Below are 27,620 nucleotides of genomic sequence, written 5' to 3'. Positions count from 1 at the left end.
TTAAAAATAATAGTTAAAAGAAAAGAAAATTTAGCCTTTTTTCAGAGTTTCCACCTTTCTTTGCATATGCACTCTGGGAAGAAGGAGATACTTTCCCTGGAAAGATGTAGAAAGACTTATGCAAGGCTGGGCGCAGTGGCTCATGCCTGTAATCCCAGCCCTTTGAGAGGCTGAAATGGGTGCATCACTTGAAGTCAGGAGTTCAAGACCAGCCTGGCCAACATAGTAAAACCCTGTCTACACTAAAAATACAAAAATTAGCTGGGCCTGGTGGCTCATGCCTGTAATCCCAGCTACTCAGGAGGCTGAGACAGGAGAATCACTTTAACCCGGGAGGCAGAGGTTGTAGTGAGCCGAGATTGTGCCACTGCACTCCAGCCTGGGCGACAGAGCGAGACTCCGTCTCAAAAAAAAAAAAAAAAAAAAGAATTATTCAAAGGCCTTGATTCTCCTACCAAGGGCTAAGAATGAGCTGGTAGACAAGACAAGAATTAAAACCTGCAGTCTAATTCAGCCTTAGGAGACTGTAAGGACCAGTCACCGTGGCTCATACCTGTAATCCCAGCACTTTGGGAGGCTGAGGCAGGTGGATCTCTTGAGATCAGGAGTTCGAGACCAGGCTGGGCAACATGGTGAAACCCCATCTCTACAAAAAATACAAAAATTAGCCAGGCATGGTGACATGCACCTGTAGTTCCAGCTACTTGCGGGGGGCTGAGGTAGGAGGATGGCTTGAGAACGGGATGTCAAGACTGCAGTGAGCCATGATTGTGTCACTGCACTCCCAGCTGGACAACAGAGCAAGACTGTGTCTCAAAAAAATAAAAATAAAAATAAAATAAAATAAAAAGAAAAAAGGAAAGAAAAGAAAGTGTAAGACATATTTGATACATAATTTGGCCGAGTTTATCCATAAATTCTATGTCTTCCTTTTTATCTCCTTTCATAATTCTACACCCTGCTGTGGCCTGGCCAACATAATGATTTAGGTGATCTAGAGTTTATTCAAACTGGATAATTGATTGTAATTGCTTAGAAATTTACCACAAAATCGCCTCTGTTTTCTTGGGGATTGTCTCCTAACTTTTCACTTCTTTTGAGGGTCTGCACACGCTGTTCTCAGCAGCTACTGGTCCCAGCATCTGGGGAAGAAAGAAATGCATGGTAGGACAGCTCTTTACCAATTTCTTTTTTATTTGCCTAATTCGAAGCTAGTGTTCCTTCTCATATGTACTATCCCCTTGAAAATGTAATACAATGTCATGTATCACCCATGTGAAAATGAAAGGTTTTAAAATTCCTTCACCCTTAAAGATCCTCCACCCCAAACAGCCTTCACCTCTGCCTCCCCCAACATACAGAGACTGTACAGACACAGATACAGTAACTGCCCAATAAGTGTTTGTTGAATAAAATAGCTGTATAACTTTGGCCCAGAGAGGTTATTTATAATGTGATGGGTTGAGACTGGATGATGACCAAGGTTCCTTACTGCTATTGCTAGTCACAGGATTGAATCAAACAAATTACTTTGGAACCAAGTCCCCTAGTGATTAATGTATTGCTTAGAGGCAGAGAAAAATGATGGCAGCCAATGGAGGCTGCACTGCCCTGATCATCCAAGGAGGAGTCTGTGACCCTGATTTGGAGAGAGCAAGGTGGCTATTCATTTTCCTTGGCGAGTCTAATTATTCTCCTAAGTACTGAGCTCCTGGAAGGCTGAGGCTATGCCTCTTTTGTCTGCCTGGAACACGTGGTTGCTTGAATATGTTATGAGTGAATGAACTCCCTCTGTCCTATTCAGAGCTGAGAAGATGGGGGCCTTCTCAAGAGGGCTGAGACCACCCTTCTTCATCTTCCTAGAGTTATAGGCCTGCCTCTATTGTTTCAAACATCTTTGCTTACTCCTAGAGAGAGCAGGGGAAGAAGCGATGAGTGGGGTGTGTCTGGGCCATTACAGGAATTAGTGAAGGAGATGGCCCAGGAAAAGGCTCAGGAAGGGAGTATGTGGAGCTGTGTGTTCTGTAGATCAAATTGAGTTTGTGGCTTTCTCAGTCTGCAGGAGAATGGGGATGGGAGTGGGCAGTACCATAAACAGACGAAGGAATTTATTCTTGAAACTGATCTGGGAGGACTCTAAGATTTGTAATAAGTCTTTCACTATGCTTTGTTAATTTAAAAGGGTGAAAATACTCTTAATTTGACCTGTTTGTTTTCTTTAGCTTTTCAGTGTTCCCACCGAGGAGGAGAGCTGGGAATTTCCCTTCGTCCAGACGGAAGGGTTGACATTAGAGGAGGTGCAGCTGTTGTTTTAGAGGGCACACTGACAGCCTAGAGGTGGTTATGCTGTGACGCTGCTGTCTCTAACCACCAAGTATTTTCTGCTTAAAAAGAAATGTAAGGGGCTGCCTTTAGCAAATGTGCGTAGTAGTCTACTTAATCCTCATGTTAAAAATCGAAAAATGGGCCAGGCGCAGTGGCTCATGCCTGTAATCGTAGCACTTTGAGAGGCCAAGGTGGGTGGATCACCTGAGGTCAGGGGTTCGACACCAGCCTGGCCAACATGGTGAAACCTCGTCTCTACTACAAATACAAAAATTAGCTGGGTGTGGTGCCACATGCCTGTAATTCCAGCTACTTGGGAGGCTGAGGCATGGAGAATCGCTTGAACCCAGGAGGCAGAAGTTGCAGTGAGCAGAGATCACACCACTGCACTCCAGCCTGGGCAACAGAGTAAGACTCCATCCACACACACACACACACACACAAAATTGAAAAGTGAAGACATTTTAATGGAGATTTAATAGTGCTTCCAGACTAATGAACTAATGGAGTTTTGGCTCCACTCATGAGTGTATTTGAAATGTAAGTAACCAGCTACAAAGAATAATGTCACTTCATTTGATTATGACTACCAATCAAGAGAAGGAGGAATACATTTCTGAGGAGTGATACTAAACCATTTGAGCTTAAATGAGTACCTGATTTTGCAGCCATTAAAATGAGTCAATAACTATGTGGAAATATAGAAAAATATTTTATAATATAATACTAAGAAAGAGGACAGTAGGCCATAAAGTGTTAGCAGTGTTATGCTATGTCTATATAAATAAGCATGGGCCATTAAAAATAGCAAACTGAAAACAGTTCATGTGTGGGGGGCAAGTTTAGAAGTAATTTTAATGTATCTAAGAAGTGATTTCCTTTATTGTTGTACTCAGGTACGAAGACTAAAAATCAGGATGAATCCAGAAAATTAACACAAAAAAGTATGTATTAGGCTACTTCCTGTCATAGTGAAATTAAACACTCAAAGTAATGTAATCTCAGCTGGGCGTGGCGGCTCATGCCTGTAATCCCAGCACTTTGGCAGGACAAGGCAGGAGGATCACTTGAACCTAGGAGTTCGAGACCAGCCTGGGCAACACAGCGAGAACTTGTCTCTATTAAAAAAAAAAAAAGGAATGTAATTTCAATCTTTTTCTTGATATATGGCTTGAGAATGATAATGTAAAAGGAATTCTTCTCTTACTTCAATAAAATGGGTTTTAACATAACTTTAAATTCAGTTAAATATACAATATTGAATACCTATAGTTGACTTTGGGATGGGGACTTTTTCAAGTCATTAAGAGTGTTTGTTTAAGGTGATCTCATTGATGGTAGTTCTCAGCCGTCTCAAAAACTGCAAGCTAATCAGTCAGACATTCTTTAATGACCCCAATTTTTTCACTTTAATTGTTACCATGTTTTCTATTTTTACTGATTTTTGCTAAAGCATGTAAGAGTGAATTTATTATAGCAGTAATCTTGTGTTTCTCCTGATGTGCAATAAATCAATAATTCACCAGCTTTAATGCCTTAACTTACTGAGTAACCAGTGCCCCACCGCCCCCCAGAAGACCTCACAACTCATCACAACACACCCACGGGTCATGATACCAAGGGCGAGAATCACCAGAGGGTTTTCCCCCAATTTTGGATTTTCCAAACCTGAGACTGAACTATATGAATAAGTTTATATAAATGTACAGTTGAGAGGGCCTGAATTTGATCAGATCTGAATCTGATCTTTCAAATGTATGCTAAATTCTTTTTTTTTTTTGAGACAGAGTCTTGCTCTGTCGCCCAGGCTGGTGCCATCTTGGCTCACTGCAACCTCCGCCTTCCAGGTTCAAATGATTCTCATGACACAGCCTCCAAAGTAGCTGGGATTACAGGTGCTCACCACCATGCCTGGCTAATTTTTGTATTTTTAGTAGAGATGGGATTTCACCATGTTGGCCAGGCTGGTCTCAAACTCCTGGCCTCAAGTGATCCACCTGTTGTGGCCTCCCAAAGTGCTAGGACTATAGGCGTGAGCCACTGTGCCTGGTGGTGCTATATTCTTAATAGATATTTTTGGGAAAGAAGTCTCTGACATAACTCTGGATTCCTTTTCACATGAAAGTTGTTATTTGTAGCACCTGACTTGACTTTTCATCCTATATATATATATATATTTTTTTTTTTTGAGATGGAGTCTCGCTCTGTCGTCCAGGCTGGAGTGCAGTGGTGCGATCTCGGCTCACTGCAAGCTCCACCTCCCAGGTTCATGCCATTCTCCTGCCTCAGCCTCCCGAGTAGCTGGGACTACAGGTGCCCGCCACCACGCCCGGCTAATTATTTGTATTTTTAGTAGAGACGGGGTTCCACCGTGCTAGCCGGGATGGTCTCGATCTCCTGACCTCGTGATCCGCCTACCTCGGCCTCCCAAAGTGCTGGGATTACAGGCGTGAGCCACCGCGCCTGGCCTCATCCTATATTTTCAAACCACATATTCACTTGTGTGATTTTTGTTTGAAATTGTCCAATGGATAGTTGAGTCCAAATAGTCAGAATACTGATTATGTTTTTTTCCATACATAGGCTGTTTATGTAAGAACACTGATTATGTTTACTGTGTTTCCTCAGCCTGCTGAAAATGGACTCAGGGGCTGCAGTGCACATGTGTGTGGGAAGTAGCCACCAGAGAAGCAGGGACTGGGACAGGACAAGCACACCTGAATAAACAAAACATCTATTTATCTTTATATAAATATGCCTACATTTATATAAAAATAAACATATTTAAACACTAAGGCCAGGCGTGGTGGCTCATGCCTGTAATCCTAGCATTTTGAGAGGCCAAGGTGGGTGGATCACTTGAGGTCAGGAGTTTGAGACCAGCCTGGCTAACATGGTGAAACCCCATCTCTATTAAAAATACAAAAATTAGCTGGGTGCGGTGGCAGGTGCCTGTAATCCCAGCTACTCAGGAGGCTGAGGCAGGAGAATCACTTGAACCCAGGAGGCAGAAGTTTTAGCGAGCCAAGATTGCACCCTGCACTCCAGCCTGGGCGACAGAGCGAGACTGTCTAAAAATAAATAAATAAACAGTAAAATCACATTTGGTCTTGACTGTGCATGTGTAGTCAAATTCTACTAAATTAAATACAGTATGATGGGATTTTAATTCACCAAGTGGGGAAGCTTATCATGTCTTGATGACGTCTACAATTTAAGTCCATTTTGCCATTTTGCTGACTCTTCTTATTTTGGCTTCTTTGTCACTATGCAGCTTTTTAATGTTTGTTTGTTTCTTTGTTTTTAAGAGAAAAGGTCTTGCTCTTTTGCCCTTGCTTGTTGCCCAGGCTGGAGTGCAGTGGGGTGATCATAGCTCATCGCAGCCTCAAACTCCTGGGCTCAAGTGATCCTCCCACCCCAGCCTCCTGAGTAGCTAGGACTACAGGCATGTGCCTCCATGCCCAGCTAATTTTTGAATTTTTTGTAGAGACAGGGTCCTGTTATGTTGCCCAGGGTGGTCTTGAACTCTTGGCTTCAAGTGATCCTCCTGCCTTGGCCTCCCAAATCATTGGCATTACAGGCATGAGCCACTGTGCCTGGCCAGCTTTTCATGTTTTTATACAAATATAAAAAGTGACATCTCTGGGTAGCAAGAGCAAAGAGCCTCTAGGGTATACGCTGTACAGTGAGTTATCTGCTGATATGAGCAGGGCAGGTTTGAGAGCCCTACTTCCAGATAGGTTTGTTCCTGCCTCTTCCACCTCTGCCCACCTCTTGCCTACCTGATCTTACTGAGAATGGCCAGAGGTGAGTGCAGAGGGAGCTATGTTTCTGCTTGTATTAGTCCATTTTCACGCTGCTGATAAAGACATACCTGAGACTAGGTAATTTATTTATTTATTTATTTTTTCTTATTTATTTATTTATTGATCATTCTTGGGTGTTTCTCGCAGAGGGGGATTTGGCAGGGTCATAGGACAATAGTGGAGGGAAGATCAGCAGATAAACAAGTAAACAAAGCTCTCTGGTTTTCCTAGGCAGAGGACCCTGGGGCCTTCCACAGTGTTTGTGTCCCTGGGTACTTGAGATTAAGGAGTGGTGATGACTCTTAACGAGCATGCTGCCTTCAAGCATCTGTTTAACAAAGCACATCTTGCACCGCCCTTAATCCATTTAACCCTAAGTGGACACAGCACATGTTTCAGAGAGCACCGGGTTGGGGGTAAGGTCATAGATAACAGCATCCCAAGGCAGAAGAATTTTTCTTAGTACAGAACAAAATGGAGTCCCCTATGTCTACTTCTTTCTACACAGACACAGCATCAATCTGATTTCTCTATCTTTTCCCCACATTTCCCCCTTTTCTATTCAACAAAACTGCCATCGTCATCATGGCCCGTTCTCAATGAGCTGTTGGGTACACCTCCCAGACGGGGTGGCGGCCGGGCAGAGGCACCCCCCACCTCCCTCCCGGACGGGGCGGCTGGCCGGGCGGGGGCTGTCCCCCCACCTCCCTCCCGGACGGGGCGGCTGCCGGGCGGAGACGCTCCTCACTTCCCAGACGGGGTGGCTGCCGGCCGGAGGGGCTCCTCACTTCTCAGACAGGGCGGCCGGGCAGAGACGCTCCTCACCTCCCAGACGGGGTCGCAGCCGGGCAGAGGCGCTCCTCACATCCCAGACGGGGTGGCGGGGCAGAGGTGCACCCCACATCTCAGACGATGGGCGGCCGGGCAGAGATGCTCCTCACTTCTTTCCAGACGGGGTGGCGGCCGGGCAGGGGCTGCAATCTCGGCACTTTGGGAGGCCAAGGCAGGCGGCTGGGAGATGGAGGTTGTAGTGAGCCAAGATCACGCCACTGCACTCCAGCCTCTGCTTTTCCTCAGTTCCAGCTTCTTTCTCTTTCATGGTACCTCAGTTGCTTCTACTTTATTGGATAGTGTTGGAGATCATGGAGGGAAGGCAAATATACGCGCGGCCGAGCCGAGGCGAATCCGGAGCGCGAATCCGGGGCTCAGGCCCATGGCCCCGCGGCGGTCCGGGAGGTCGGGGTGGGCGGTGGCGGCTGCGACCGCGGGGCCAGGCCTCCTCCCCTCTTCCGCCGCACCCCTCCCCCGCCGCACCCCTCCCCCGCCGCCGCTGCTGCCGCCACCACCCCGGCTGGAGAGCGCTGGGCGCGAGCTGCGTGCGCCGAGACTAGGTAATTTATAAAGAAAAAGAGTTTAGTGGACTCACAGTTTCACATGGCTGGGGAGGCCTCATGATCATGGCGAAGGTGAAAGGCATGTCTTACGTGGTGGCAGGCAAGAGAGAATGAGAGCCAAGCAAAAGGGAGAAACCCCTTATAAAACCAGCAGATCTTGTAAGACTTATTCAATACCACAAGAACAGTATGGGGGAAACTGCCCCCATGATTCAATTATCTCCCACCACCAGGTTCCTCCTATAACATGTGGGAATTATGGGAGCTACAATTCAAGGTGAGATTTGGGTGGGGACACAGGCAAACCATATAATTCCCTTCTTGGTCCCTCCCAAATCTTATGTTTTCACATTTCAAAACCAATCATGCCTTCCCAACAATCTCCCAAAGTTTTAACTCATTTCAGCATTAACTCAAAAGTCCACAGTCCAAAGTCTCATCTGAGACAAGTCAAGTCCCTTCCACTTATGAGCCTGTAAAATCAAAAGCAAGTTAGTTACTTCCTACATACGATGGAGGTGCAGGCATTGGGTGAATACAACTGTTCCAAATGGGAGAAATTGGCCAAAACAAAGTGGTTACATACAGGCCCCATGCAAATCTGAAATCCACTGGGGCAGTCAAATCTTAAAGCTCCAAAATGATATCTTTTGACTCCATGTCTCAATCCAGGCCACGCTGATGCAACAGATGGGCTTCCACAGCCTTGGGCAGCTCTACCCCTGTGGCTTTGCAGGGTATAGCCCCCCTTATGGCTGCTTTCACAGGCTGATGTTGAGTGTTTGTGGATTTTCCAGGTGCATGGTGCAAGCTGTTGGTTGATCTACCATTATGGGGTCTGGAGGACAGTGGCCCTCCTCTCATAGCTCCACTAGGCAGTGCCCCAGTGGGGACTCTTTGTGGGGGCTTGCACCCCACATTTCCCTTCCGCACTGCCTTAGCAGAGGTTCTCCATGAGGGCTCCATCCCTGCAGCACACTTCTGCCTGGACAACCAGGCATTTCCATACATCCTCTGAAATCTAGGCAGAGGTTCCCAAACCTCAGTTCTTGACTTCTGTGCTCCCGCAGGCTCAACACCATGTGGAAGCTGCCAAGGCTTGGGACTTGCACACTCTGAAGCAATGGCCTGAGCTATACCTTGGCCCCTTTTAGCCATGGCTAGAGCAGCTGGGATGTGGGGCACCAAGTCCCTAGGTTGCACACAGCAGGAGGGTCCTGGACCTGGCCCACAAAACCATTTTTTTTCCTAGGACTTTGGGCCTATAGTGGGAGGGGCTGCCACAAAGATCTCTGACATGCCCTGGAGGCATTTTTCCCATTGTGTTGGTGATAAACATTTGTCTACTTGTTATTTATGCAAATTTCTGCAGCTGGCTTGAATTTCTCCTCAGAAAATGGGTTTTTCTTTTCTATCGCATCCTCAGACTGCAAATTTTTTGAACTTTTATGCTTTGTTTCCCTTTTAAAACTGAATGCTTTTAACAGCACCCAAGTCACATCTTGAATGCTTTGCTGCTTAGAAATTGTTTTGGCCAGATACTCTAAATCATCTCCTTCAAGTTAAAAGTTCCATAGATCTCTAGGGCAGGGGCAAAATGCTGCCATTCTCTTTGCTAAAATATAGCAAGAGTCACCTTTACTCCAGTTCCCAACAAGTTCCTCATTCCCATCTGAGACCACCTCAGCCTGGATTTCATTGTCCATATCATTATCAGCATTTTGGTCAAAGCTGTTCAACAAATCTGTAGGAAGTTCCAAACTTTCCACATTTTCCTATCTTCTTTTGAGCCCTCCAAACTGTTCCAACCTCTGCCTGTTACCCAGTTTCAAAGTTGCTTCCACATTATTGGGTATCTTTACAGCAGTGCCCCACTCCCAGTACCAATTTACTGTATTAGTCCATTTTCATGCTGCTGATAAAGGCATACCTGAGACTGGATAATTTATAAAGAAAAAGAGGTTTAATGGACTCAGTTCCATATGGCTGGGGAGGCCTCACAATTATGGCAGAAGGTGAAAGGCATGTCTTACATGGTGGCAGGCAAGAGTGAATGAGAGCCAAGCAAAAGGAGAAACCCCTTATAAAACCAGCAGATCTCATGAGACTTATTCACTATCATGAGAACAGTATGGGGGAAACCGCCCCCATGATTCAATTATCTCCCACCAGGTCCCTCACGCAAGTTGTGGGAATTATGGGAGCTACAATTCAAGATGAGATTTGGGTGGGGACACAGCCAAACCATATCACTGCTTTCAAGTTTAATGTTGCTATTGGTTGAAAAGAGTGCTCCCAGTAAAGTTGGCATCCCATCTCTGGTGTATTGAATTAGACTAGGTTATGCTAAAGCACAAAATATCTACAAAATCACAGTGGCTTAAAATAACAAACATTTTATTTGACCTCAGTGTCTAGTACAGGCCAGGAGGGGTACTGTTCCTTGTGATCATGCAGTGGCTCAGGCTGATTTTTCATTCTGCCATCTCAACATGTGGTCTCTGTGGTTGTGGCAGCAGGAGGAAAGAGTGTATGGACACCTTCCTGTGCTTTGGCTCAGAAGTGATAGGTGTCAATTCTGTTCACAGCCTTTGGCCAGAACTGGTCACATATCTCCATCTAACAGCCAAAGAGCTGAGAAATGTGAGAGCTCATGGATCTATTCTGTGTACAGTAAATGTAATTGCTGTGCCTGGGGAAGGTTTTCAGGCCACTCAGATGGTTCCCTCTAGGATGACATTACATGGGTAAACTTATCACAGCCCAGGGGATTAGGGGTACAGTCTCAAAAGCCCTATTATGTAAGTGCACCAAGAATAAATCTATCTTTCAGGGGCAGACTCACATTAACCTAGCACATAGAGACTGACGTATAAAGCCAAAACACCAATTTGTTATTTTACAATGAGAAATATAACCACAGAATAGATTAGATCAGAGCATTTTCTCTGATCTAACCTATTCTCTGATTTCCCAAACAGCATTTGCATATCTGTTTGGGAAACCAAATTGTAATCAGAAAGCTCCTTGGTGACCAGGGAGCCAAAACAAGGAGAGTCAGCAAAATGGACTTAAATGGCAGATGTCATCAAAACATGATAAGCTTCCCCACTTTGACAACACAATAGAATCCTATCATATTGCACTTACTTTAGTCAAATTTGACTACATGTGCTCAGGTCAAGGCCACATGTGCTTTTAGTGTTGATTGATTGATTGAGATAGGGTCTTTCTCTGTCACCCAAGCTGAAGTGCAGTGGCGTGATCATAGCTCATTGCAGCCTTGACTTCTTGAGCTCAAGCCATCCTCCCACCCCAGCCTCCTGAGTAGTTAGGACCACAGGCATGTGCCACAACTCCTGGCTAATTTTTTGATTTTTTATAGAGATGAGGTCTCACTATGTTGCCCAGGCTGGTCTCAAACTCCTGGGCACAAGTGACCTTCCTGCCTTGGCCTCCCAAAATGCTGAGATTATAGGTGTAAGCCACCACACTTGGCCTAAATATATTTATTTTTGGTACAACTATGGTCCCTAGTTCAAGCAAACATCTTTGTCGGACACTCAACAAAACAGTGATTTGTTCTAGCACTGTAGGAAAAAACTGGTAGTGCTATGCTTGTGAACTGGTGTGTCTGTCAACTATGCTTTACAGGTTATTAATGGGATTTTCTTTCTTTCTTTTTTTTTTTGAGACAAAGTCTCGCTCTGTCGCCCAGGCTGGAGTGCAATGTCGTGGTATTGGCTCACTGCAACCTCTGCCTCATGGTTTCAAGTGATTCTCTTGCCTCAGCCTCCTGAGTTGCTGGGACTACAGGCGCCTGCCACCACACCTGGCTGATTTTTGTATTTTTAGTAGAAACAGAGTTTCGCCATATTGGCCAGGCTGGTGTCGAACTCCTGACCTCAAAAGATCTGCCTGCCTTGGCCTCCCAAAGTATTGGGATTACAGGTGTGAGCCACCACACCCGGCCTATTTGTGGGATTTTCAAGGATAATCTTGGAAAACTTAATTTTTGCCTTATGCGCTATGGTAGCCTGCCTCCAAAATGGTTTCCAATGATCCCCATCTTCTGCTATCAGGCCCTTAGGCAGTCCCCTCCCACATTGCACCATGATTGGTCTGTGAGACCAGTGGAATATCCAGAGGTAATGCAGTTAGGTTATAAAAGGCTGCATCTTCTGTTTTGGTCAGTTTCTGTCCGTCTACCTCCCTCTCTTGAATCCCTTGCCCTGTGGGAAGCCAGCTGCCTCATCATGAGCAGCCTTAAGAAGAAGCCCACGCAGCAATGAACTGAGGCCTTTGACCAACAGCCACATAAATGAGCTTGGAAGTGGACCTTCCCGCTCCGGTCATCCTCAGATGATGCCATCCTGCTGACACCTTGACAGTAGCCTTGTGAGAAACCCTGAACCAGAGGTACCCAGCTATGCTACTCCAGATTGTTAACCCACAGAGACTGAGATAATAAACGTTTGTAGTTTTAAGTAGCTAAATTTGATGTAATTTGTTTTGCAGCAAAAGAAAATGAATGCACATGGTGTCTTTATCTTTTATTTTTATTTACTTTTTTGAGACAGAATTTCGCTCTTGTTGCCCAGGCTGGAGTGCAATGGCACAATCTTGGCTCACCGCAACCTCCGCCTCCTGGGTTCAAGTAATTCTCCTGCCTCAGCCTCCCAAGTAGCTGGGATTACAAGCACGTACCACCACACCTGGCTAATTTTGTATTTTTTAGTAGAGACGGGGTTTCCCGATGTTAGTCAGGCTGGTCTTGAACTCCTGACCTCAAGTGATCCACCTGCCTCAGCCTCCCAAAGTTCTGGGATTACAGGTGTAAGCCACTGTGCCCAGCCTTTTATGTTCTTTTTTAGAGATAGTCTTGCTCTGTCTTTATCTTTTTAATTTTATTATGAAAATTTCAAACATATTCAAAGGTATAGAATAGTGTGATGAGCCCCCATGAACCTATCCCTCAGGTTCAGCAGTTTTAGTGCATGGCCAATCATCTATACCCCACTTCAGAGCCCACTTCTTTTCTCCCTTGGATTATTTTGAAGAAATCATACACTCTCATCAGCAAATATTTAAGTATTTATCTTTTAAATATAAGTACTCTTAAAAAAAAGTAACCTTAACACTAATATCACTTCTGTGATAGACAGACCATTAAGGTGGTCTGGTGTTCAAGCACTTATGTGATCACCTCCCCTTGAGAGTGACTTGCTTATAACCAATAAGTACAACAAAGATGATGAAATGTATGTGATTACATATATGTATTGCATGGTTATGTTATATAAGATTGTAGCATGGTCTTGTTGGAGACTCCCTCTCCCTTGCTGGCTATGAGGATGCAAGGTACCATGTTGGGGAATATAAACCAAAAACTATCTGAGACATGTCTCAATCAATTTAGAAAACTTATTTTGCCAAAGTTAAGGACATGCCTGTGACAGCCTCAGGGTGTCCTGATGACATGTGCCAAGGTGGTCCAGCTACAGCTTGGTTTTGTACATTTTAGAGAAGACATAAGGCATCAATCAATCAATACATGTAAGATGTTCATTGATTCGGTCTGGAAAGGTGAGACAACTGGGAACAGGGGCTTCCAGGTCATAGGTGGATTCAAAGATGTTCTGATTGGCAATTGGTTGAAAGGGTTATTATCAATAGAAAGGAATGTCTGGGTTATGATAATGGGTTGTGGAGACCAAGGTTTTTTTTTTTTTTTTTTTTTTAATTTTAAGTTTCGGGATACATGTGCAGAATGTGCAGGTTTGTTACATAGGTATACATGGGCCATGGTGGTTTGTTGCACCTATCAACAATCTAGGTTTTAAGCCCTGCATGCATTAGGTATTTGTCCTAATGCTCTCCCTCTTCTTGCCAAAGTTTTATCATGCAGTTGAAGCCTCCAGGAGCAGGCTGGAGAGAGAAAGATTGTAAATGTTTCTTATCAGACTTAGAGTCTGTTCTATCAGTAATGCCAAAAGGGAGGAGGGTATAACAAGTCATGTCCCCTTCCCATCATGGCCTGAGCTAGTTTTTCAGGTTAAGTTTGGAATGCCCTTGCCAAGAAGAGGGGTCCATTCAGATGGCTGAGGGGCTTAGAATTTTATTTTTGGTTTACAGCAACCCAAAAGGAACTCAGGGTGGTCTCTAAAAGCTGAGGGCAGCCTGTAGCCAATAGCCAGCAGGAAAATGAAGCTCTCGGTCCTATGAAAGCAAGGACCTGAATTTTGCCAACAACCTGGATAAATTTGGAAGCAGATCTTTCCCCAGTTGAGCATTCTTATGAGACTGAGACCCCAACCCTCGCTAACACCTTGATTGCAGCTTTGAAGAGAACTCAGTTGTGCCTGGACTTCTGATCCACAGAAACTGTGAAATAATAGATGTGTGTTGTTTTCAGCTACTAAGTTTGTGGTAATATTGGTGCAGCAATAGAAAACTACTATCCAAAACATTAGCAACAATTACTTAATATTATTGAATATCCAGTTAATGTTCCCATTCCCTGATTGCCTTATATATTTTTTTTCACAGTTTTGTTTGTTTGTGTTTTTTTTTCTTTTTGAGACAGAGTCTGACTCTGTCAGCCAGGCTGGAGTGCAGTGGCATGATCTCGCCTCACTGCAACTTCCACCTCCCAGATTCAAGTGATTCTCTTGCTTCAGCCTCCCAAGTAACTGGGACTGCAGGCATGCGCCATCACGCCTGGATAATTATTATTATTATTTTTTTTTTTGAGACGGAGTTTCGCTCTGTTGCCAGGCTGGAGTACAGTGGCCCGATCTCAGCCCACTGCAACCTCCGCCTCCTGGGTTCAAGCGATTCTCCTGCCTCAGCCTCCCAAGTAGCTGGGACTACAGGCGTGTGCCACCACACCTGGCTAATTTTTGTATTTTTAGTAGAGATGGGGTCTCACCATGTTGGCCAGGCTGGTCTCAAACTCCTGACCTCAAGTCATCTGCCTGCCTTGGCCTCCCAAAGTGCTGAGATTACAGACATGAGCCACCACGCCCGAGTTTTTCACAGTTTTTCTAAGACATGCTGACTTTAGCCTGCACTTCATGAGATGTGAGTCTACTGTATGTAACCTGCCTCATAGCACAGTCTGGATTCTTGTTTCCATGCCTTAGCCTTTCTCTCAGATAAGACCTGCCTGGGCCCTGCCAAAGCGTGACTCCCTGAGCAAGCTTTTCCAGAGCTTCCATGCTAACCAGTGCTGTCTTTCCACGTGGATCAGATTATAGTCAAGCCATTCTGTTCCTTTAATGTTGCTAGACATTGCCCAATGTCCCAGGGAGGTGGTTGCCAAGGGGAAAATCCATTATTCTGCTGAGAACCACTGCTTTAAGTTTATCTGTCTTTTTTTTCTTTCATTCTTTTGTTTGTTTTGTGGCTTAACTCTCAGAGGGTGAATTGTTTTCCTCTTTCCAAGTTCTCTTCAGGAGGGGAATCCCCCCGCTGTCCATCCCTGTATCCTGCGAGTTAGGTACCCAGCTGGGATCTGATTTCACAGCCTGGGGTCAGATGTGTTGTAAAGCAATCTTACATGGTTGGTAAAAAGCAATGTAAGACACTCTGCTAGAAGTTGGCAGGGCAGAGAGCTGGGGGGCAGGCGGCAAACATGATTAGAGAGGGAGCTTACCCGGCTCTCAAGGGACTCATGCTAACTGTGGAGACCAGGCTCATCCTTTTATGAAAAGATAATGAGCTCTTGTGTGGGTCTGTGATTAAGGCCTACATATGGCACAGACACCAAGGGCGATAGCAGGGGAGTATTGAAGAAAAGGGCTTAGAAATATCAGGGTATGAGCAAAGACTCAGAGATGAACGCTCAGGGCATGTGTGGGTTTTGTCTAGGGTTTCTACATCTAGAAAGTAGTTGTTAGGTTCTGGGGGCACACAGAAAGAAATTAAAAAAACAGCAATTTTTAAACTAACATTCCAGTTGAATAGATAACATGTAAACACAAGGACAGATAAACAATACTGAAAGTTATTCTTACTGGTGTTTTATTTTGGAAACTATTAAAATCTATAAAAAGGACTTAGAAATCATAGCAATGGTGAGTCATTCCCAGTATATGAGTAAAGGTAGAACCGTGGTTCTCTGACAATCAGCATCAGCACCACCTGGGAGCTTGTTAGAAATGCACATTCACGGCTGGGTGTGGTGGCTCATGCCTATAATTCCAGCACTTTGAGAGTCCGAGGCATGCAGGTCACCTGAGATCAGGAGTTCGAGACCAGCCTGGCCAACATGGTGAAACCCCCATCTCTACGAAAAATATAAAAGTTAGCTGGGCATGGTGGCACGCACCTGTAATCCCAGCTACTCGGGGGGCTGAGGCAGGAGAATCACTTGAACCCAGAAGGCAGAGGTTGCAGTGAGCCGAGATTGCGCCACTGCACTCCAGCCTGGGTGACAGAGCAAGACTGTCTCCAAAAAAAAAAAAAAAAAAAAGAAATGCACATTCACAGGCCCTAACCTAGACCAACTGAATTAGAAGCTCCGGGGGGAAGACCTAGTGATCTGGGTTGTAACAAGCCATCCAGGTGATTTTGGAGTATGTTTAAATTCGAGAACCATTAGGTGTTTAGGCTTTCAGACTTAGCCACCATTTTCTTCACTCTTGAGTGACAATTGCCTGTGCAGTTCAATAACTTTTAAATATGCATTGTCCCATGATCTCCCTGACTATACCAACACACTTGCTACTTAGTGCACTTTTAGAGAAGCTTTTATTTTTTTTTAATTTTTTATTAGCTTCTAGCTCTGTTCAGCATAGAAAAATTAGCTGTGCTCAGGTGGGAGCTGTTCAGTAATGTGTTGGTAATAAACAGATTAGTTAATCAGCCATGATTTATTAATGATGAATTAATTATACCTGATTGTGCAGTTCTGCTAGCTAAATGGAGCTTTAAAGGAGTTGTTTTATTAATCATCAGGGTGCTAATTGCAGAGTCTTACAGAAGGATCACTAATTAAACATGCAACCATATGCAGAACAAGTTGGGTTGCTGAGACCTGCAAGAATAAAACATACTCATTTTTAAGGGAGCCAAAACAAACTTTATTTTATGCAATATTAGGGAATTGACTTGGCAATGTTAATTAATCACTGCACATTAATATTGTACTTTTTTCCAGCAGGAATTGATCCATACAACAAAACTCATGTAGTATTCTAGTGAGATCTGTTATAGGCGAAGTATATTGCTCAATCATATTTTCTGTTTACACATATGCAATCTACTATAATGGAGACCATTGGTTAATGGGACGGGACTTAGAGAAGAAAGAGTGAAAATTACATACCAGGCCTTTGCACTTTATTCAGAGCATCAAGTGAGTGGGAGATGGTGAACTCCTAGAGACCAGGAACACTCCTGCATGTTGAATCACAAAAAGAGAATTTATAGCCTTGTGCTATTGGAGCAAGGAAAGAAATGAGACTGTCCAGTTAAAAAGGTATCAGATAAACTCAAAGACAGATAAATAACAGGGAAAGTGTTTTCAAATTTTAGCTCAAGGTAGATTAAAGGCAGTTCATGACTTTTTCTTGGGAATGAATATTTGTCATTTGGGGTTATTCAGCATCCAAACACCATTGTCCTGGCACCTGAAATTGGGAAATTCTCATTGTGAGTAGTCTAAGGAGGTAGTACCCAACTTCTATCATGGAAGCCAATGTGGCCAGATGCCATCTCTTCCTGCAAATCAGAGAGTGGGCATGCTACTCACGCTCAACCAAGTTAGAGACGTTGTCCTGGGAATTTGGTAGCTTCTCAGAATAATGGCTGCACGAACAATATTTGTTTAATTTTGGTCTAGTAGGTAACGGAATCAAGTCTGTGTTGTATGAACGTATGATAAATGTGTGATGATGAGGGGGATGATGATAGTGATGACAAACTTCAAGGTTGTCTTGATTTTTCTGGATTCCTCCATCTTGGACATTTCCTATCCTGTTCCTTGGTTTAGGAATGAATATGTGATACAATTCTGGCCAACGAGACATGAGGGTAAGTTTTCAGTTCAGGGAGTCAAGTGAGGAAAAAGGTGGGATGAAACAGCATTTGACATGCATAGGTTTACTTAAGCCCCTGATGTTCAGTAAGGTATCCCTCCTTCAGTTGTGCTTGGTGCCTTTGAGTCTTGAGATCTTCTTCTTCTGTTTTATATTCTCCAAAGAAAAAACCTCTAGTCTTTTTTCCCATGGTGGGGTAAGGAAATTGCCCAATGTGTGGGAGCTGTTCAGCACATATGTATTATTTTTATCTATCTATCTATCTATCTATCTATCTATCTATCTATCATCTATCTATCTATCTATCTTTTTTTTTTTGTCTGAGTTTCGCTCTTGTTGCCCAGACTGGAGTACAATGGCACGATCTTGGCTCACTGCAACCTCCATCTCCTGGGTTGAAGTGATTCTCCTGTTTCAGCCTCCCAAGTAGCTGGGATTACAAGCATGTGCCGTCACGCCCAGCTAATTTTTGTATTTTTAGTAGAGATGGAGTTTCACCATGTTGGTGAGGCTTGTCTTGAACTCCTGACCTCAAGTGATCGCACCTGCCTCAGCCTCCCGAAGTGCCGTCGTCCCCAGCCAATATTATATGTGTTTTAACATAAGTATACAATGTGTATCAGCCATCCAGATCAAGATATAGAATGTTCCCATCAGCCTAGAATGTTCCCTCATGCTCTTTCTTGGCAAAATAAAACAAAGCAAAATAACTCTCCATATCTCACTCCCTAAAATTATCACTATTCTGAAACTTCTATCACTATAAATTGGTTGCTTATTGTTGGGCTTTTTTTTTTTTTTTTGAGACAGGGTCTTGCTCTGTCGTCTGGCTAGCTAGAGTACAGTGGCTGGATCATGGCTCACTGCAGCCTCAACCTTCCAGGCTCAAGGAATTCTCCCACCTCAGCCTCTTGAATAGCTGGGACTACAGTAGGTGCACGCCATCACACCTGGCTAATTTTAGTATTCTTTGTAGAGACGAGGTTTTACCATGTTGCTTAGGCTGGTCTTGAACTCCTGAGCTCAAGCAATCTGCCTGCCTTGGCCTCCCAAAGTGCTGAGGTTACAGATGTGAGCCACTGTGCCCAGCCTATTCTTTAGCTTTTATAAATAGATTCATAAAGTATATACTGTTTGGTTTTGGTTTCTTTCATTCAACATAATGTTTTTTAGATTTATACATGATGGTGAGTTTATTCTTTTTTATTGCTATATAGCATTTCATTGTGTAACTATATTATGCTTTATTTTTACCATTTGTTCGTGATCATTTGGGTTGTTCCTAGTTTTTGGTTATAAATACATTCTTGTACATGTCTTTTGGTAGACATATACATGCATTTACTTTGAAGAGCATACTTAGGAGTATAATTGAGTAACAGATTTATTATATGTTTAACTTTGATACTGCCAAATGGTTTTCTAATGCAGTTGAATGAACGTACGCTTTTCACCAGTAACATCTGAGAGTTCTACTTGCTCTACATTCCCACCAGCATTTGGTAGTGTCACTCTTTAATTTTAGTCATTTTGGGAGAGTATAGTGCTATCTCATTGTGGGTTTTAAGTTGCATACCCCAGCGAGTTCTGTTATTGAACAACTTCATCATAGGTTTGTTGGACATTTGGGATCTTCTTTTGTCAAAATGCTGGTTCAAATTTTTGTCTACTTCACAACTGAGTTGTCTTTTTTATTGATTTGTAGGAGTTCTTTATATACTTTGGATATGAATCCTTCATCAGATGTATATACTGTGAATATTTTCTCCTAGTTTGTGGCATCTTCATTCACTTTCTTAATGGTATATTTTAATAACAAATTATTTTAATAAAGCCTAATTTATCAATCTGATCTTTTATGATTAGTGTTTTTTGTGTTCAGTCTAAGAAATCTTTGCCTTCCCCAAGAATATGAAAATTTCTCTCTATGTTTTCTTTTAGAAATTATTTTACTTTTCACATGTAGATCTATGACCTACCTGAAATTTATTATTATTATTATTTTTGAGACAGAATCTTGCTCTGTGGCCCATGCTGGAGTGCAGTGGTGCGATCTCAGCTCACTGCAACCTCTACCTCCTGGGTTCAAGCGATTCTCCTGCCTCAGCCCCCTGCCTAGCTGGGATTACAGGCATGCACCACCATGCCCTGCTCATTTTATATTTTTTGTAGAGAAGAGGTTTCACCATGTTAGCCAGGCTGGTCTTGAACTCCTGACCTCAGGTGATCTGCCCGCCTGATCACTTGGCCTTCCAAAGTGCTGGGATTACATGCGTGAACCACCACGCCTGGCCCCTCAAATTAATTTTTATGTATTGTAAGGTAGGGGTCAAGATTCATTCTTTTTCTATGTGGATAACCAACTGCTCTGGCACTGCCGACTGAAAAAACCACTTTCCCCCACTAAATTCAGTAGTGTTCTTACCTCAAATCAACCAACTGTATCTGTGGGGTATTTTTCTGGATTTTCTACTGTGTTCCACTGGCCTATTTATCTTTGCACCAACATGCGGTCTTAATTTAATGTAACATTATAGCACATTTCAATAGCTGAAAGTGTAAGTTAGCCAACTTTTGAGGATGACAAAGTCTTTAAAATCTTGCTGAGAATTTTATTTAGATTGCATTGACTCTACAGATGAATCTATAGAGAGCTGATATCTTAACAAGATTTAGTCTTCTAATCAATGAATTTTCCTTCCACATGTTTAAGTTTTTCTATTTCTCTTAGCAATATTTTGTAATTTTCAGTGTAGGACTTACACATCTTTCACTAGATTTATTTCCAGGTTTGTGATTTTTAAAAATGTTATCATAAATGGTAGTTTAAAATTTCAGGCTGGGTGAGGTGGCTCATACCGGTAATCCAGCACTGTGGGAGGCCGAGGTGGGAGGATTGCTTGAGCTCAGGAGTTTGAGACCAGCCTGGGTAATAGAGGGAGACCTCATCTCTACTTAAAAAAAAAAAAAAAAATTAGGTAGGCCTGGTGGCATGTGCCTGTAGTCTCAGCCTGGGAGATCAAGGCTGCAAAGCTGCAGTGACCTATGATTTTGCCACTGCACTCCAACATGAGACCCAGTCTCAAAAAAAAAAAAAAAAAAAAAAAGGAAAAAGAAAATTTCATCTTCCAGTAATTTATTATAAATATATATGCAACTGATTTTATATGTTTTGTCTTCTTTTCAGTGACCTTAATAGAATTTATTAATTCTAGTTGCTTGTAGATTCTTTTTTTGAGATGGAGTCTCACTTTGCTGCCCAAGCTGGAGTGCGGAGGGATGATCTGGTTTGCTGCAACCTCTGTCTCTTGGGTTCAAGCAATTCTCCTGCCTCAGCCTCCCAAGTAGCTGGGATTACAGGCACACACCACCATGCTCAGCTAATTTTTGTATTTTTAGTAGAGACAGGGTTTCACCATGTTGACCAGACTTGTCTTGAACTCCTGACCTCAAGTGATCCGCCCACCTCAGCCTCCCAAAGTGCTGGGATTACAGGCACGAGCCACTGCACCTGGCAGCTTATAGATTCTTTTGGTTTTTCTACATAAACAGTCATGCCATTTATGAATAACAAAGACATTTTTATTTCTTCCTTTCTACCTTTTACCCCTTATTTCCTTTTCTTGCCTTATTGCACTGGCTGAGACCTCTGGTACAATAGTGAGTAGAAGTGATAAGAGTGAACATCCTGCCGGGTACAGTGGCTCTCGCTTGTAATCCCAGCACTTTAGGAGGCTGAGGTGGGCGGATCACAAGGTTAAGAGATTGACACCATCCTGGCCAACATGGTGAAACATGGTCTCTACTAAAAGTACAAAAATTAGCCAGGTGTGGTGGCACACGCCTGTAGTCCCAGCTACTCGGGAGGCTGAGACAGGAAAATCACTTGAACCCAGGACGTGGAGGTTGCAGTGAGCTGAGATTGTATCACTCCACTCCAGCCTGGCGACAGAGTGAGATTCTGTCTCAACAACCAAAAAACAAAACAAAACAGAACAAAACAAAACAAAACAAAAACGAGTGAACATCCTTGACCTTGGGGAAAAATGTTCAATATTTCACCATTGAATATGATGTTAGCTGTAGCTTTCTTGTAGATATTCTATATCAGATTAAGAAATTTTTCTTCTGTTTAGTCTGCTGAGAACTCTCCTTCCTTCCTTCCTTCCTTTTTTCTTTCCTTCCTTCCTTCCTTCCTTCCTTTCTTTCTTTCTTTCGAGAGGGTCTTGCTCTGTCACTCAGGCTACAGTTTACTAGTGGGATCATAGCTTAACAGCCTTGAACTCCTGGGATCAAGCGATCCTCCCACCTCAGCCTCCTGAGTAGCTGAGATTACGGGTGCATGCCACCATGCCCAGTTAATTTAAAAAAATTTTTTTGTAGCGATGGAGTCTTGCTATGTTGCCCAGGCTGGTCTGAAACTCCTGGCTTCAAGTGATCTCCTCACCTCAGAATCCCAAAGTGTTGGCATTACAGGTGTGAACCACCTTGCCCAACTGAACATTTTCTTTTGGCGTGAATAGATGTTGCATATTGTAAAATGCTTTTCCTTCTTTATTGAAATTATCCTATGGATTTTCTCCTTTATTTTGTTAGTGTGGATGAAATACCTTGATTTCAGATGTTAAACCAACCTTATATTCCTGAAATACATACTAATTGGTAATAATATTTTCTTATTTTATGTATTGTTAGATTCTATTTGTTTATATTTTATTTAGGATATTGACTATATATTAATAAGTGATATTGATCTATAATTTTCCTTTCTCCTAATGTCCTTGTTAAGTTTTAGTGTCAACCTCATAAAATGAGTTGAGAATTGATTCCTCTTTTCCTATTCTCTGGAAGAGTTTGTGTAAGATTTTATTCCTTACATGTTTGGAAAAATCACCAGTGCAACCTTATTGGATACTCTGGTACTCAACCTAAATCTCTTCTAAGGTTTAATGCACCCTTTCTCCAACTGCTCAAATGTCTGATGCTGACAGCTCACAACATGTTCCTCCTTGGGAGCTACCTTCAGCTGCAGGGAACTGCCTCACCCAAGATTAAGCTTATTTTCAGGGTGCTAAGATAGGAATACTAAAGCCTAGCCCCTTTCCTCAAATTGATTCAATTCTCAATGGTTATCTCAGCTCTAGGGCTTGGCTGAGGCCTGGGTTGCAACTGCATTGTGAGTCAGTTTTTATTTCTGGCCAATCCTGTCAGAAACACCAGTTTCCTACAGATGTGTCTCCCACTCCTGCATGAAATTCAGCATCTCAGAATCTGTTTCCAGGGAAACCAATCTGAGACCAAAACCATATGGCCTTGATGTTTTCTCAGTAGAAGCCTTTTAATAATTGATTCAATTTATTTAACAGTTGACCAGTTAATTTATTTAACTATTGAATAGTTAATAATTGTATAACCATTCAAATTTTCTATTTCTTGTATCAGTTTTGGTAAATTGTGCTTTCCAAGGACTTTTTCCTTGGAAAATCTCTATTTTTAGTTTGTTGACATAAGGTTGTTCATAGTATCTTTTCACATTTTTAATGTCTGTAGGATATGTAGTGATATCCCTTATTTTATTCATAAAGATGACAATTTGTGTTTTCTTTGTTATGGATTAGTTGCTAGGAGTTTATCAATTTTATTATTCTTCTCAAAAAATCAATTCTTGTCTTTGTGGATTTTTTCCAGCATAGATTTATTTTTGATATCATTGATTTTTGCTTTTTTCTTATTATTTTCTTTCCTCTCCTTTCTTTTGAGTTTATTTTTCTATCCCACAATGTTTAGAGAACATGTCCTGTTTGATTTCAATCCCTTGAAATTTGTGAAGACTTGTTTGTGGCCCAAAACATGGTCTACTTGGATAAATGTTCTGTGTGTATGTATTAGTCTGTTCTTGCATTGCTATAAAGAACTACCCGAGACCGGATAATTTATAAAGAAAAGAGGTTTAATTGGCTCATGGTTCCACACCGTGTACAGGAAGCATGGCTGGGGAGGCCACAGGAAATTTACAATCATAGTGGAAGGTGAAGAGGAAGGAGTCACGTCTTACATGGCTGGAGCAGGAGGAAGAGAGAGAGAGGGGAGAGGTGCCACACACTTTTAAGCAACCAGGTCTCATGAGAACTCATTCCTTATCATGAGCACAGCAAGGGGGAAGTCTGCCTCCATGATTCAATCACCTCCCACCAGGCCCCTCCCACAACAATGGTGGTTACAATTTGACATGAGATTTGGGTGGGGACACAAATCCAAACCATATTAGTGTACTTGAAAAGAATGTGTTTTCTATATTGTTGGTGCAATATTTTATGGACCAAGTTAGTTAATCATGTTTTTCAATCTTCTATATCTTACTGATTTTTTTCTTTTTTGAAACAGAGTCTTGCTCTGTCGCCGAGGCTGGAGTGCAGTGGCGCGATCTCGGCTCACTGCAAGCTCCGCCTCCTGGGTTCATGCCATTCTCCTGCCTCAGCCTCCCGAGTAGCTGGGACTACAGGTGCCCACCACCATGCCCGGCTAATTTTTTGTATATTTTTTTAGTAGAGATGGGGTTTCACTGTGTTAGCCAGGATGGTCTCAATCTCCTGACCTCGTGATCTGCCTGCCTCAGCCTCCCAAAGTGCTGGGATTACAGGTGTGAGCCACTGCACCCAGCCTTACTGATGTTTTTGTATGCTTTTGCTATCAGTTACTCAGAGAAGTTGTTAAAATCTCTAACTATGTAAATGGAATGTTATCCCTGTTTTTAGTTCTGTCAAGTTCTCCTTTACATATTTTGAACCTGTATTATTAGGTACATGTTAATTTTTTAATGTATACGATTGTTAGCCCTCTTAATAAGGTATAATATCTCTTGTAATATTTCTTGTCTTAGAGTCTACTTTGTTTTATATTAATAAAGCACAACTGTTTTCTTTTGGATAGTGTTTGCAGGGTTTATCTTTTTCATCTTTTTACTTTCAACCCATCTGTGTAATTTGCTAGGGTCTCAACTGAATGTTGGGTGTTCACTGAAGTTTCTCCACTCTGGCTGGATCCAAATCCCAATGTCTCCCAGCACTGTGAAAACTCCAGATCTCCACCCAGCACTCCGTCTTCTAGTCACTGTTCTTACATGGCCCAGGAATTGGCCAAGACCTGAGAGAGTTTTCCACACAGACTTCTTGGGTTCTTTTTTTGTAGCACCGCCTCCGGCGTCCTGCCCCACCTTTAATCTCAATTGGCTCCTCAGCCTTCAACTATGAAATCTACTTCTCCTCCCCACACCCCTACACCCACCTTAGGCCATAAAACTTTATTGGCTGGCCAGGAAAAGAGCCAGGGGTAAGTGTCCCTCCCCTCCCTTTCCCCTACCCAGGGGAACTCCTCTCCTGGAGGACAGAAGCCCAGAAGCCAGTGGACTCAGAGGACCTTAGAGGCAGGAGGGTTGTTATTGGGCATCCTGGCCCAAGGACAGGCTTCAGTAGATAGTAATCTCCTCCTCCAGCTGAGACTTGATGTCCATGAACCACTGGTGCTGGTTCTGCTGCTGGCTGTCAGCACCCACGTCACCCTGCTGGGCTTCAACACCCCTGACCAGCGCCTGGATCTGTGCCAGCTTGGCTCCAAAGAGGGCCCTTGTTTCTTCCAGTGTGCCTTCCAGGGCGGCTTTCATGCTGAGCTGCTGCAGCTCAATGTCAAAACCCTGGGGGGTTCACCGCAGGTCAGTGACCTTGAATTTGCTCATCTGGAGCTGCTCATGTGGCTGGTAACCTCCTGATTCAGCTCCTGGGACTGGCTGGTTAACCAGGCTTCAGCACCCTCCTAGTTCTGCTCAGCCATGACTTCCTATTTGCTTCTCAAGTCGTTGTTCAGGATCTAGGCTGGGTTGATGCCTGGAGGGGAATCTATCACCACACTGACTAGGCCTCCCACCTGGCCCCTCAGGGCAACAATTCCTTTCTGGCAATTTTTCTTCAGGTAGGCCAGCTCCTCCTTCAGGCTTTCCATCCCCATCTCCAGGTCAGTCCTGGCCAGGCTCAGCTCGCCCAGCACCCTGCACAGAACGTTGATGTGGATCTCCAGGCTCAGACCCGGGGCCAGCTCCTTAAACTTGGTTCAGAAGTCATCTGCAGCCAGATGGGTGCTGTTGGTCATCAGGACAATCCTGAAGTTCTCAATGGTGGCAGTGAGAATCTTGTCCCATAGGTCCCTGATGGGCTTGAAGTAGTGGGTGTAAGCCACAGGAGGGCCCAGGCCCTTGCTTCTGGTACCAGCCATGGACCTTCACCCCCAGCTCTCAGGTGACCTCTTCCAGGGCGTTCACCTTGGCCAGGTAGGAGGCCAGATAGGTGGTTATTGAGGGTCTGCATGGTGATCTTCTCGTTGCCTACCAGCAGCCCATTGGACCTGGCCAGGGCATTAGCACAGCTGCCACTGTAACCCCCATCGTCCCCATCATAGCCCACAGAAAAGGATGAGGACAAGAAACCAACAGAGGATACTGACATGCTGTGGCCCATGGATCCTGGTGGATGCTGGGCATGCAGAAGGTGTCCCCTGCCTCAAAATGCATGGAGCTGCCACCCAAGCCCCAGGAGGATGAGGCTGGTCTGTGACTGGTGACAGCTGTAGGAAGGCATGGCAAGGCAGCAGACGTGAGCGACCCTGGTCTGAGGAGTTTTGATGGACAGGAGGAGCCTGACGTCTACTCCTAACCCGTGTGACGCTCTTCTCCCCTGGCTGTGTTCCCTGGCCCCACAGCCTGGCCCAGAAAATGGGAGAAAGCCAGGGTAAATGTGGAACTCACCTGTGTGAGTTCCTCGATGATCACAGCCCCTTCTCTCTGTGATCACAGTGTGGTATTGGTAACTGTTAGTGTCTGCAACCCTGGTTTTTCACATTTTGTCCAGGTTTTTAATTTTAATTTTATTTTTAACAGCCGGAGGTTAAGTCTGATACCAATTACTTTATGATGGCCCAAATTGAGCATTTTAATACCACTTCTTTTTTTTTTTTTTTTTTTTTTGAGACAGAGTCTTGCTCTGTTGCCCAGGCTGGAGTGCAGTGGCCTGATCTCAGCTCACTGCAACCTCTACCTTCCCGGTTCAAGCGATTCTCCTGCCTCAGGCTCTCCATCAGCTGAGAGTACAGGCGTCCACCACCACACTTGGCTAATTTTGTATTTTTAGTAGAAATGGGGTTCACCATGTTGGCCAGGCTGGTCTTGAACCAAGTGCCCATCAATAGAGGAATGGTATATACCTACAATAAAATACCATTTAGCTATAAAAAGGAATGATGTTTTGATATGTGCTACAACATGGACGGATCTTGAAAACAAGCTAAATGAAATAATCCAGACACAAAAGGGCACATATTGCATGATTCCGCTTATATAAAGTGTTTAGAATAGGCAAATTCATAGAACAGAAAGTAGATTTCAAGTTACCAGGAGCTAGGAAAAGGGGAGAAGAGGAGTTACTGCTTAACGGTGGCAGAATTGCTGTTTGGGGTAATGAAAGGGTTTTGGAAATAGTGGTGATAGTTGTACAACATTGTGAAGTAATTTAATGCCACTGAGCTGTACAATTAAAACATTAAATGGAGAGGTTACTGGAGGCTGAGAAGGGCACAAGGTTGAGGGGGTATTGGGAGAGATTTGTTAAAGGACACAAAATTACAGCTAGAGAGGAGGAATAAGTTCTAATGTTCTATAGCACTGTAAGTAACGATAACTACAGTTGATAATGTATTATATATTTTCAAATAGCTAGAAGAAAGAATATTGAATGTTCCCAACACAAAGAATTGATAGCCAGGTGCAGTGGCTCACGCCTGTAATCCCAGCACTTTGGGAGGCTGAGGTGGGTGGATTGCTTGAGGCTAGGAGTTTGAGACCAGTCTGGGAAACATGGTGAAACCCATCTCTACTAAAAATATAAAAATTAGCTGGGCGTGGTGACACATACCTGTAGTCCCAGCTACTCAGGAGGTTGAGGCATGAGAATAGCTTGACCCCAGGAGGTGGAAGCTGCAGTGAGCCAAGATCGCACCACTGCACTCCA

The 27,620-nt window shown here is 43.6% G+C and overlaps 1 protein-coding gene and 1 pseudogene across 5 annotated transcripts in view; one reads left to right on the top strand and one right to left on the bottom strand.

Moving 5' to 3' along the window:
* Nucleotides 1–3,852, top strand: part of PBLD (phenazine biosynthesis like protein domain containing) — a 50,269-nt gene extending 46,417 nt beyond the window's left edge. For 2 of the 5 annotated variants that reach the window (XM_017016513.2, XM_011540060.4), the window contains exons 9-10: nt 1,127–1,164; nt 2,223–3,852. In XM_017016513.2, coding sequence (XP_016872002.1) covers nt 1,127–1,164; nt 2,223–2,315 — 131 coding nt within the window. In that variant the 3' untranslated portion in view covers nt 2,316–3,852. Of the gene's footprint in view, nt 1–1,101; nt 1,432–2,222 lie in introns of those variants that run through there. The other 3 variants (NM_022129.4, XM_005270028.5, NM_001033083.2) reach the window with 2 other exon arrangements.
* Nucleotides 24,979–26,195, bottom strand: KRT19P4 (keratin 19 pseudogene 4; annotated as a pseudogene).

This window comes from Homo sapiens, chromosome 10 (genome assembly GCF_000001405.40).
Source record: "Homo sapiens chromosome 10, GRCh38.p14 Primary Assembly".
In the NCBI taxonomy this organism is placed as follows: domain Eukaryota; kingdom Metazoa; phylum Chordata; class Mammalia; order Primates; family Hominidae; genus Homo; species Homo sapiens.
This window is presented reverse-complemented; position numbering and strand designations above follow the sequence as displayed.